Genomic DNA, 12,204 nt, shown 5'->3' on the forward strand with positions numbered 1-12,204 from the left:
ACTGCTTGGGCTTACTTGTAACCATCCTTCTTGGCAAGGCTCCCCAGATATTCAAAAGGACTTGGGTGTTGTGATCTAAGCTGTATCTGCTTTAGTGGGCACCCCAAACCCAGTAATGCTTTGGTTTTTGCAGTGTCATAGAGGTACCACCTTGATGGTCTTGGACAAGATGTGGGAGAATTATCTGGATTACTAGGCAGACTCTTCTTCTTTTCCCTTAGTTGCTCTTAAACATAGAATCTCTCTGTCCTGAGCCAACTAAAGCTGGGGGTAGAGTGACATAAGCACCCCTGTGGCCACCACCGCTATGACTGCATTGGGCTAGACAAGCAAGCACATTGCAGGGTCTTACCGAAGGCCTGCTGTAACCACTGCCTGGCTACTGCCTATGTTTGCTCAAGGCCCTGGGGCACTACAATCAGCATGTGGCAAAGCCAGCCAGGCCTTTGTCATTCCCTTCAGGGGAGTGAGGTTCCCTAAGCCCCAGGTGGGTCCAGAAGTCGGCGATTGGAGTCAGCGACTAGAGCCAAAAACCTTAGAAGTCTAAGTGGGGTTCTATTGTATTGTGGCTGAGCTGGCAATCAAACCACAGGACACAGTTCTTCCTACTCTTTCTTTTGCATTCCAAAGGCAGAGCAGCCTCACCCTGAAGCTACCACCATCCCCAGCCCATGAAGGGTACTGCCAGATTACTGCTGATGTTCCCTTAAGACCCAAGGTCTCTTAAGTCAGCTTTTCATGAATGTTGCCTGGCCTGAGTCACTCTTCAGGGCAGTGGGCTCCCCTCTGGCCCAGGGCAGGTCCAGAAATATTGTCCAAGAGACAAGTCCTGGGATCGGGGACCCCAAGAGCTTGCTTGTTGCTCTACTCCTCTGTGGCAGTGCTGGTACCTAAGGCATAAGACAAAGCCCCCTGTACTTTTTCCTCTGCTTTTCTCAAGCAGAAGGCCCTGTAGCCACCACAGCTGGTTATGTGCTGAGTATCACCCGAAGCCAGCAAGTCTCAGAGGTTCACCCTAGGCCCTCGATGTGGTACCTGGGTATCACTGCTGGTTATTCAGGGTCCAAGGGCCCTTCAGTTAGCAGGTGACGAATGCTGACAGAAGTTGGTTCTTTCCTTCAAGTCAGCGGGTTCCCTTCTGGCCCAAGGTGTGTCTAGAAATGTCTGAAGTCAGGGCCTGGAACCGGGGCCTCATGACTCTGATCAGTGTCCTATACTACTGTGGCTGGCCTGGTATCCTAGATGTAAGACACAGTCCTCCCCAGTCTTCCCTCACTTCTGCTCAAGCAGAAGGAAGGGGTCTGTTTTGGAGTCTAGATCTGTGGAGCCTGGGTTTAGGGGAAAGGTGATGCCAGAACTCTCTTGGCTGCCCCAGCTGGTGTCTAAATATGTTGCACCTGCACCGCCCACCCTCCGCCCTGCCCCCCGACCTCCACCTCAGTTCACTGTCTTGGGCCTAGTTCAGCACTACGGCTCACCTAAGAGTTGCAGTCTTTATGTCCTAGACTGCCTTTCAAGATTACTTGCAGACATGGAGGGCTGTAGTCTTTGGTAGCAAGGTTTGCAGGCACCGAGTTTGGACTGTTGGGATTGGCAATTTCCCTCTGGCTAGGGCTGGATTAAATGCACCTTCTGTGGTTGAGCACCAACTGAGTTTGATTCGGTTTTCCTTTCTGCTCTAACAGGACATCACTGAGCTCACTGCCTCACAATTGCTGTGTTTCTCCCTCCCCCAGCGCCCAGACGTGCTCTGGGTACCATGCTGCTGCTGCCAGAGGTCGGGGAGGGGTGGCATCCACAATTAAGGAATGTTTTTGTATCTCTTCAGTGCCTCTTTCAGCGATATGAGGTTAAAACCTGGTACTATAAGTGCTCACTTGATTTTTGGTTCTTATAAAGCTGGGTTTTTTTTTGTTTTTGTTTTTTCTGTGTAGATTGTTGTTATCTTGGCAACCCTGCGGGGAGGATCATCGGTGGAGCTTTCTATACCACCATGTTGCTCCCTCTGCTCCCCTGATTTTTGTATATTGATTTTGTATCATGCAACTTTACTGAATTTATTTATCAGATCTAAGAGTTTTTTGGTGGAATCTTTAGGTTTTTCTTAATATAAGATCATATCATCTGCAAAAAGTGACAATTTGACTTCTTCTTTTCTAATTTGGGTGCCTTTTATTTGTTTCTCTTGCCTGATTGCTCTGGCTAGGACTTCTAGTAGTATATTTAATAGAAGTGTTGAAAGTGGACATCTGCCTGTAATCCCAGCACTTTGGGAGGCTGAGGTGGGCGGATTGCTTGAGGTCAAGAGTTCGAGACTAGCCTGGCCAACACAGTAAAACCCAGTCTGTACTAAAAATACAAAAATTAGCTGGATGTGGTGGTGCACACCTGTAATCCCAGCTTCTCCGGAGGCTGATGCAGGAGAATCACTTGAACCCAGGAGGTGGAGGTTGTAGTGAACCGAGATTGCGCCACTGCACTCCAGTCTGGGTGTTAGAGTGAGACTCTTTGCCTTTTTCTAGATCTCAGAGGATAGGCTTTCAGCTTTCTTCTAAATTGTATCTCTGTAATATCAGTTGTAATGTGTCTGTTTTTGTTGCTGATTTTATTTATCTAGGTCTTCTGTCTTTGGTTAGCCTAGCTAGGACTTTATTGATTTTGTTTATATTTTCAAAAAATCAACTTTTTGTTCCTTTGATCTTTGGTGGGTTTTTTTTTTTTTTTGAGATGGAGTCTTGCTCTGTTGCCCAGGCTGGAGTGCAGTGGTGCAATCTCAACTCACTGAAACCTTCGCCTCCAGGGTTCAAGTGATTCTCCTGCCTCAGCCTCCCAAGTAGCTGGGACTGCAGGTGCATGCCACCACGCCTGGCTAATTTTTTGTATTTTTAGTAGAGACGGATTTCACCATGTTAGCCAGGATGGTCTCAGTCTCCTGACCTCGTGATCCCCCCGTCTCATCCTCCCAAAGTGCTAAGATTACAGGCGTGAGCCACCACGCCTGGCCTTGTGTTGTTTTTTAGTCTCTGTTTTATTTAGTTCTGCTCTGATCTTTATTATTTCTTTTCTTCTCCTGATTTTGTTTGTTTTTTTCTTGCTTTTCTAGTTTCTTGAGGTGCATCTTAGATTGTGCATTTGAAATCTTTCTACTTTTTTGATGTGGGCATTTGTTGCTATAAACTTTCCTTTGAGCATCGCTTTTGCATTTTCACCCATAGGTTTTGGTATGTTGTGTTTTGATTTTCATTTGTTTTGAGAAATTTTTTTATTTCCTCCTTAGTTTTTTTCCTGACCCAATAGTCATTCTGCACATCTGGTACAACAGTCGCCTCTTCTAATTTTTTGAATTTGCTTTTATAAGGGAGTACTTTTTCCTGAAGCTGTGTCTATGTTGTTGGTTGGGCAGGGCACTTTAGCTTTGATTCTGGGTTCATGCAGTAGTGTAGTCTTCATATGATTTCTTCAGCTGTAAACAGACTTAGCAGTGTTTGTAATTTCCTCAGGGGATTAGGGTGTGGTTGTTAGTAGAGGCTGTGATAAACTTTTGCTGGGGATAGGGATGTCAGGTGGATAGGATGTCCTTTGGCCCTAGTTGTGGTGGTGGCAGGCCAACCATGCTTGTCCTTGAGCCTCAGGGCACCATATACTGGCACCAGTGTTAATAGGCCTAGGTGGGCTGATTCTTGAGCCTCCAGGCAGCTTGCTTGGGTGCTGGGAATGGCAGAGGTGGGCTAGGTGGGTTGGTGGGTCCTTAGGCCCCTGGTCAGTGGGCGTGGTTTAAGCAATGGCAGTAGCAGTAGTGGGACCCTATGACTCCCAAGTGATCTTTGCTCATGTGGTAGTGGCTATGACAGGCTAGATGGGCCAGTCCCCATGTCCACAAGTGGTGTGTGCAGGTGGGTGCCAGCTGTGCTGGTAGCAGCAGGTTTGGTGGGCCTATCCTTAGGCTTCTGGGCTATGTGCTCAGGTGCTGACAGTGATTGGAAGGGGCGGGCAATCCTCAGACCCTAGATAACATGCTTGAGCATGGGGAGATGGGTGGAGCAAGGCCGGGGAGTCCTGTCCTCAGGTCCCCCAGTGGTGTGTGGGGGCATTGGCTATGGTAGGCAGGAGCAGAGTGAGCCCAAGGCCCCTGGCAGAATGCTCAAGTGGGGGAAGCAGTGGTTGCACTGTGGCCCTGCTGTTGGGGAGGGTGAGGTTGCTTTTAGTGGCGGCAGTCATAAACACATGGCTAGGGAGTGCATGCTTCAGCCCTGGGTGGTGTGTATAAGCAAGGTAGCCTTTCTTCAGTGCACTTTTAAATGTGTGACAGCCCTGCTACTAGGGGTGGCAGGGTTACTGCTAATGGCTCATGCTTTGGCCCTGGCAACAGCAGCCAGCAGTGATACCTGCATGTGGGCAATGCCAGTAGGACTCCAGGGATGTGGGGACGCAGGGACTATTGGGCCCCAGAGCAGGATGCAGTCTGCTGGGGGCTTGTTTCTCAAAATGGTGCCTTGCTGCAGCTGCTTAAGACTTGGGGTATGTGTGGAACCTGGCATGAGCTCCCCCTTTGGAGTAATGCAGTTGCACAGTGTCCAGGCAGCTGCCTATACTAACCTCATGGCCTGCATGTGTTGAGGGTTTTCATGTGGCTAAGATTGCAGGAGTCCAAGGTGGGAATGTGGACCACAGTGGTGGGGACGTCACTCACTTACCCTTTCCCCAGATTGTGGAGCCTCTCCAGGCTCACAGCTGATCCCAGCCTCCAGGTTGCCTTGCTTCCCTCTCCTTCCTTGCTTTAGGCGTTTCTTTGTTACTTCCCTGTTGAATTCTAGTATTTTCTCTTAGGTGATCTATTTGAAGTGTGATTATCTACTGCTATTTTAGTTCTTCTTTGTGGAGGAAAGGAGTATCAGATGTCTCTAGTCAGCCATCTTGAAGTCCCTCTGAGATAAGTAAGTTTAAGACTTAGGAGATCCAGGGCTTTAAGGCCAGGGGTAAAATGGTTAAATAGTATGAAGATGAAGAACCCACAGATGTGAGCAGAGAGCAAAGTGGGTAGATTACAAAGCAAATATTGAACCATTGAGGATGCTGGGTTATTGTTTCTGCCACATGTGGAAATGAACCACAGATATCCAGTCTGCATACTCTACTTAACCCATGCTTGTCTCCTTCCTCAAATGTTCCCTTTTTGTTTATACATATGTTTTCACAGAATCAGAAACACTCAACACAACAACCCTAGGAAGGATTAATACTTCTATTCCCCATATTTGGCAGTATTCTATAGAGTGGAAATTGAAATCTCTCCCAAGACTGACTCTAGGCAGCATATTGAAAATTGAATATTGGTATACATATCATAGAACACCAGACATTTGCTGTACCAGAAAAGCTTGACATTATTGTTCTCCCAGCGTTACTGCCTTAGGTTGTCCTGTCTCTTGTTTTTTTAAGAGCTGGATGTCTGTACAGAGAATGTTATTTATCATAATTCTGTGATAAGTATTATCATCAGACATAAAAACACCTAAATGAATCAACTGGAAGTTGCTAAAGATGTACATTTTGTAAAACTTTGAGATACATATTTTTTCATTTTATGCTTTATCATCCTGAAGTAACATGTCAGAATCCATCAGTAAACTGATTCTGCACTGTATTAATGTTTTGTTTTATAAAGTGAAGTTTATCTTGTGTGATTCTGTTTGGCAATCATTTTTATTAAGGAGGGGTGTCACCTTTCATGTATGTTTGTCTATATTTTGTCCAGATCTGTGCCAGGTAGCGTGAAGGGATACAATACATTGTTCTTGGAGGATTACAATCTAGTTGGGGAGAAACAATAGATGCTGGAGGCAGCTAGATTTAGTACCATAGATTTTAAACATTAATTATACACTGTCATATCATTTTTAATCATTTTGTGGGTGTTGGAGGCAGTGTATGAACTGGACAAACACTGAAGTATCTGTGGAAATTTTCTTGTGGAACTTTGATGTAAATAACTTGGGACAAGGGAGAAGTTCTTAGGATGGAAGAACGAAAGGAAAACACATAAAGAAAAATATGTGTGTTTACGGAGGAAACAAGTGAGAAAGTAATGGCAGAAGGGGTAGAAGACAAAGGATTTGAGAGCCCGGATGTCATAAAGAGTCTCAATGCAAGTTCAGTGGGAAGGAGGGTGAGGTGAGGAGAGAGAAAGTTGAATTTAAAGGAAGTATTTTGTTGTTCAGGATAAAATCCTGAGAGAAACAATGATTTGTGTTGAGGAAGTCCAAGCTCACATTTACAAGCTCACATTACAAGCCCAAATGTTACAAGCTCGTATTTCCTTCATGGCTAGCTCACAGGTTTACCTCCTTTAAAATATCTTCAGATCAAGGTCTGGATGTTCCCTTTTTCTGAATGGTGTTTATGTTTGAGTGTACATTGACTTAGCATCCAGTGATTTAAAGTATGTTTATTTCGGCTGGGCACGGTGGCTCATGCCTGTAATCCCGGCACTTTGGGAGGCTGAGGCAGGTGGATCACCTGATGTCAGGAGTTCGACACCAGCCTGGCCAACATGGCGAAACCCCGTCTCTATGAAAGATACAAAATTAGCCAGGTGTGATGGCACATGCCTATAATCCCAGCTACTTGGGAGGCTGAGGCAGGAGAATCACTTGAACCTGGGAGGCGGAGGTTGCAATGAGCTGAGATCGCACCGTTGTACTCCAGCAGGGCAACAAGAGTGAAACTCTGTCTCAAAAAAAAAAAAAGTTTATTTCATCTCCCCAAATAGATTTAACGATTATATATTCTATTTTAAATACAATAGACTACTATTGAAATTTGATGCAGAAAACTGATTTAGAAGCCATCTAGTCTAGTATCTTCCTCTGTAGTGGCTACTGATCTCTACCCAGAATGCTGTCTCTTCCACAGGTTGGGTGTCCTTTGATTTTAAAAGCCTTGACCTGTGATTTTCTTTAGAGGAAAGGCCTTGGGCGGCTAGTCACTTTGTCCAGACACAGACAGCTGGAAGTGCCTGGGAGTTTAGTGTTACCATCTCCATCCCCGTCCTCATACCAACCAATGACTGACAGGTGTGAGTATGAAAGCACAACTCCTCTGACTCAAGGTGGGACAGTGTTGAGGCTAGACTTTATGTGTGTGATCCAGAGCACTTTGATCAGGCTCAGGCTGGGACTTCAGCTGAAATTACACCCTTGTTTGGCTTTCTCTCTCTGTGTATTCCCTCCCCATCACCCACACTCTCTCTGATTTTTCCTTACTTAATAAACCAGTTGCATATGAATCCTCATCTTAAGATTCATTGAGATTACTGACCTACAACATCCTCATTTTACTATGGGGAAACTGAGGCCTACTGTGGTTCACGCATTTGTCTAGTCATGCAGAGCCTACTTTTTGATCCAAATCTCTTGATTTCCATTTCTATGCTCTTTTAACTTCTCCTTAGTAGTTCTACATATTCAATAGACATAGAATAATTGTCTATTGAGTTGGTGAATAAATGATGAATGCACAGGCATTTTACTGTATGCTTAAAGGAGGCATGAATTTAAGATGTAATTCTTACTCTCCAGAAACTTAAAAACAAGAGAATGGATACGACTAATATTTATTAAATCGAATAATAAGGCAAGATGCTATTAGATCTAGAAGAACAAGGGACGGACAGAGAATGCATGGTTAGAGAAGGCAGAGAGAGAGGGGAAGAGAGAGAGAGAGAGAGTCAGAGAGAGTCAGCTTCAAAAACAGTATAGCATCTGCATTGCGGCTGAGAATGGTTAAGTTTAAACAAAATTTGTTTCAAAGTTGTTGGCATTTTAAAACCTGGTATAGTTTTGTGTCCTAATGTTTTCACCCCACTTTGGGTACATTTCCATATTATCATGAATTGGGCTTTAAAATCACTCTTTAATAGAGACCCAGAATTTAATGGCATATAGATAGGTTGAATATATTTAATGATGCTCTTATTTTTGAATACTTAGATTTCTCTAAATTTCTGATAATGGAATGACACTGCACTGAAGATCTTTGTAGATAAATATTAGCCTACATTCTGAGATTATATGTGGAGAGTAAATTACTAGATATGTAACTACTGGGTTAGAGGGTAGAAAGTTTTTTGAGCATTTCTGAGACATATTGCCAAATTGCTTTCCAGAAAAGATTTCCAATGCTAGTATTTCACTTCTCAATGGCACATGGCTGTAGCTTCTCCAGAAGTTCTGGTCTTTTGTTTATTTATTAATTCATTAAATATTTATTAAGCTCTGACTACATGGGAAACCACATACTAAGTTGTTCTATATTATTATGTTCTACCTGATAATGTAGAATCTTTATTGAGTTTTCCTCTTCTACTTTACCTTTTTTCTTCCACTTACAATATTCATAGCCCAGAATTAAGCATAAAGTAGGTGCTCAATATGTGCTTGTTCATTGATTGAAATGTGAACAATAGTCAAATTTTGCTATTTCTGTGCCTTGTCAGACCACGAACACATTGGTTTCCTTTTTCTATTATTTTCTGAGATCTAGCCAGGAATTATTTCATTATTTGTTGACCTATTATCATTGTTCATTCTGTTCTTGTTCAAGGTTGCACTGTCTTCTCTTATCCCTCTGAGGATATTAATGACAATTTTGAGGATTTTTTCTTTTTCACCCTTCACACTTTCTGTTTCTCCCAGCAACGTTTTTCCTGTTTGTTTTGATTTCTATCTTTAATATTAAGACTTAACCACTTAGTTTTTCTTGTCTAATTACATTCAAGGATGGGCATACATAATAATAACAGTTAACAACTATATGAAGCTTACTCTATGCCAAGCTCTGTTCTAAGAGGTTTACATTTAATTCTCACAATAACTCCATAAAACAGGTTCTCTTATTATTTCCATTTTGTAGATTAAGTAGGAAAGGTTAATAACTTGCCAAAGGCTTCATGTCTAATAAATAGCAGAGCTAGCATTGTACCTGAGAGGGTTCGGATCCATAGTCTGTGCATATTGCTACCGTGCCATAGCGTTTGCTTACAAACTTTATGCAGAGTGGTTGCAGGTCAGGCTGGTACTTGATGTCTTTTTATCTTGGTTTGATTAGACTCTCCTGTGCAGATCCTGCCTAGCAGCCAGGGTTCTGGAATCTAAAGGGGAAAGAAGGCTTAGTGTCTTAACATTCAGAGCATGAATTTTCCCTTAATCCACCCCCACATTTTCACTACAACGCTTGCCTTTGGTTGGCCTTCGGTTGCCTGTTCAGAGGCCTTCAGGTACACTCTCACCAAAGAACATGTCTCTGATCTTTTGAAGAGGTGGAAAGGGGTCAGTGGACTGAATGTACTGAGTAGAGGAGGATATCTGGGAATGTAACTCCTTTTTTATTTTAAAGTAGCTTTATTGAGATATACCGGTTTCAAAAGTAAAACTCAACAGTTTCTAGTATATTCAAAGAATTGTGCAAACAACACCACAATCAATTTTGGAACCTTTTGTTCCCCCCAAACAAAATCCTGTACCCATTAACAGATACTCCCCATGTTTGTGGGAATTGGGGTAATTCTTTGCTTTCTAATACTTTTCTGTTTTGCTTGTTTTTTTTAGAAAAATGATAAGCACAGGTCGTTTTTGTAAAAATTATAAAATCGTTATGTAAAAAGCCCAATGTCTTAAAAGTTAAAAGAGTAGGATGTCTCAAAGAGAGCTTGAATAATAACATCAAATAGAATAGAGAAGTTGAAAGGGACAAAGACTGAAAGAGATCATTTTTCCTCCAACTGTAGGCACTGCATTCTTATTTTCATTTGGCAACTTTAATTTTGAACTCAGAGGGTGATGTGGTTTGGCTGTGTCCCCACCTAAATCTTACCTGGAATTGTAATCCCCATAATCCCCACGTGTCAAGGGTGGGACCAGGTGGAGGTAATTGAGTCACGAGGTGTGTTTTCCCCCATGCTGTTCTCGTGATAATGAGTGAGTCTCACGAGATCTGTTGGTTTTATAAACATCTGGCATTTCCTCTGCTTGCACTCATTCTCTCTCCTGCCACCCTGTGAAGAGGTGCCTTCCATCATAAGTTTCCTGAGGCCTCCCCAGCCCTGTGGAACTGTGAGTCAATTAAACTTCTTTTCTTTATAAATTACCCAGTCTCAGGTGTTTCTTCATAGCAGCATGAGAACGGACTAATACAGTAAATTGGTACCCAGAATGGGGTGCTGCCATAAAGATACCTGAAAATGTGGAAGCGACTTTGGAACTGGGTAACAGGCAGAGGTTGGAACAGTTTGGAGGGCTCAGAAGAAGATGGGAAAATGTGGGGAAGTTTGGAACTTCCCGGAGACTTGTTGAATGCCTTTGACCAAAATGCTGATAGTGATAAGGACAATGAAGTCCAGGCTGAGGTTGTCTCAAATGGAGATGAGGAACTTGTTGGGAACTGAAGTAGAGGTCACTCTTGCTATGTTTTAGCAAAGAGATTGGTGACATTTTGGCCCTGCCCTAGAGACCTATAGAATTTTGACCTTGAGAGAGATAATTTAGGGTATCTGGCAGAAGAAATTTCTAAGTGGCAAAGTGTTCAAGAGGAAGCAGAGCATAAAAGTTTGGAAAATTTGCAGCCTGACAATGTGATAGAAAAGAAAAACCAATTTTCTGGGGAGGAATTCAAGCCAGCTGTAGGAATTTGCATAAGTAATGAGGAGCTGAATGTTAATCACCAAGACAGTGGGGAAAATGTCTCCAGGGTATGTCAGGGACCTTCAAGGCAGCCCCTACCATCATAAGCCCAGAGGCCTAGGAGAAAAAAATGGTTTCGTGGGCCAGGCCCTGGCCCCCATACCCCCTGCTGTGTGCCTCCTAGGGACTTGGTGGTCTGCGTCCCAGCCATTCCAGCTGTGGCTTAAAGGGGCTAAGATATAGCTTGGGCCATGACTTCAGAGGGTGCAAGCCCCAAGCCTTGGCAGCTTCCTCATGGTGTTGAGTCTGTGGGTACACAGAAGTCAAGAATTGTGGTTTGGGAACCTCTGCCTAGATTTCAGAGGATGTATGGAAACTCCTGGATGTCCAGGCAGAAGTTTGCTGCAGGGGCAAAGCTTCATGGAGATCCTCTGCTAGGGCAATGCAGGAGGGAAATGTGGGATTAGAGCCCCACACAGAGTCCCCACTGCCTAGTGGAGCTGTGAGAAGAGGGCCACCATCCTCCAGACCCCAGAATGGTAGATCCACTGACAGCTTGCATCATGCGCCTGGAAAAGCCACAGGCATTCAATGCCAGCCTGTGAAGGCAACTGGGAGGGGGGCTGCACCTTGCAAAGCCACAGGGGCAGAGCTGCCCAAGATTGTGGGAGCCCACCTCTTGCATCAGCATAACCTGGATGTGAGACATGGAGTCAAAGGAGACCATTTTGGAACCTTAAGGTTTAATGACTGCCCTGTTGGATTTCAGACTTGCATGGGGCCTGTAGCCCTTTGTTTAGGCCAATTTCTCCCATTTGGAAAGGGTGTATTTACCCAATGCCTGTACCTCCATCATATCTAGGAAGTAACTAACTTGCTTTTGATTTTACAGCCTCATAGGCAGAAGGGACTTGCTTTGTCTCACATGAGACTTTGGACTTGGACTTTTGAGTTAATGGTGGAATGAGTTAAGACTTTGGGGACTGTTGGGAAAGCATGATTGTGTTTTGAAATGTGAGGACATGAAATTTGGGAGGCGCTAGGGGTGGAATGATATGGTTTGGCTGTGTCCCCGCTCAAATCGCATCTTGAACTGTAGTTCTCATAATCCCCATGTGTTGTGGGAGGGACCTGGTAGGAGGTAATTGAATCATGGGGGCAGTTACCTCCATGCTGTTCTCATGATAGTGAGTGAGTTCTCATGAGATCTGATGGTTTTATAAGGGACTTTCCCCACCTTTGCTCTGCACTTCTCCTTGCTGCCATCATGTGAAGAAGGACGTGGTAGCTTCCCCTTCCAAAACAATTGTAAGTTTCCTGAGACCCACCTAGCCCTGTGGAACTGTGAGCCAATTAAACCTTTCTCCTTTATAAATTACCAGTCTTGGGTATTTCTTCATAGCAGCATGAAAACAGACTAATACAGAGGGCAACAAATTTATAACATACACCATGTCATGCTTAAAAAATAAATAATTAGATACATATTGATATCTCTAGAGATGCATGTGCAATCTCTCTGAGGTTA

At 43.8% G+C, this 12,204-nt stretch overlaps 1 annotated feature.

Moving 5' to 3' along the window:
- Positions 264 to 799: an enhancer, noted in NCBI's record as "NANOG hESC enhancer chrX:25383902-25384437 (GRCh37/hg19 assembly coordinates)". NCBI's record gives its function as "activates a minimal SCP1, AML or CMV promoter by ChIP-STARR-seq in naive H9 embryonic stem cells {active_cell/tissue: H9 hESC(naive)}" and the evidence as "EXISTENCE:reporter gene assay evidence [ECO:0000049][PMID:30033119]".

The sequence above is a fragment of the Homo sapiens genome, chromosome X, assembly GCF_000001405.40.
Source record: "Homo sapiens chromosome X, GRCh38.p14 Primary Assembly".
In the NCBI taxonomy this organism is placed as follows: Eukaryota; Metazoa; Chordata; class Mammalia; order Primates; family Hominidae; genus Homo; species Homo sapiens.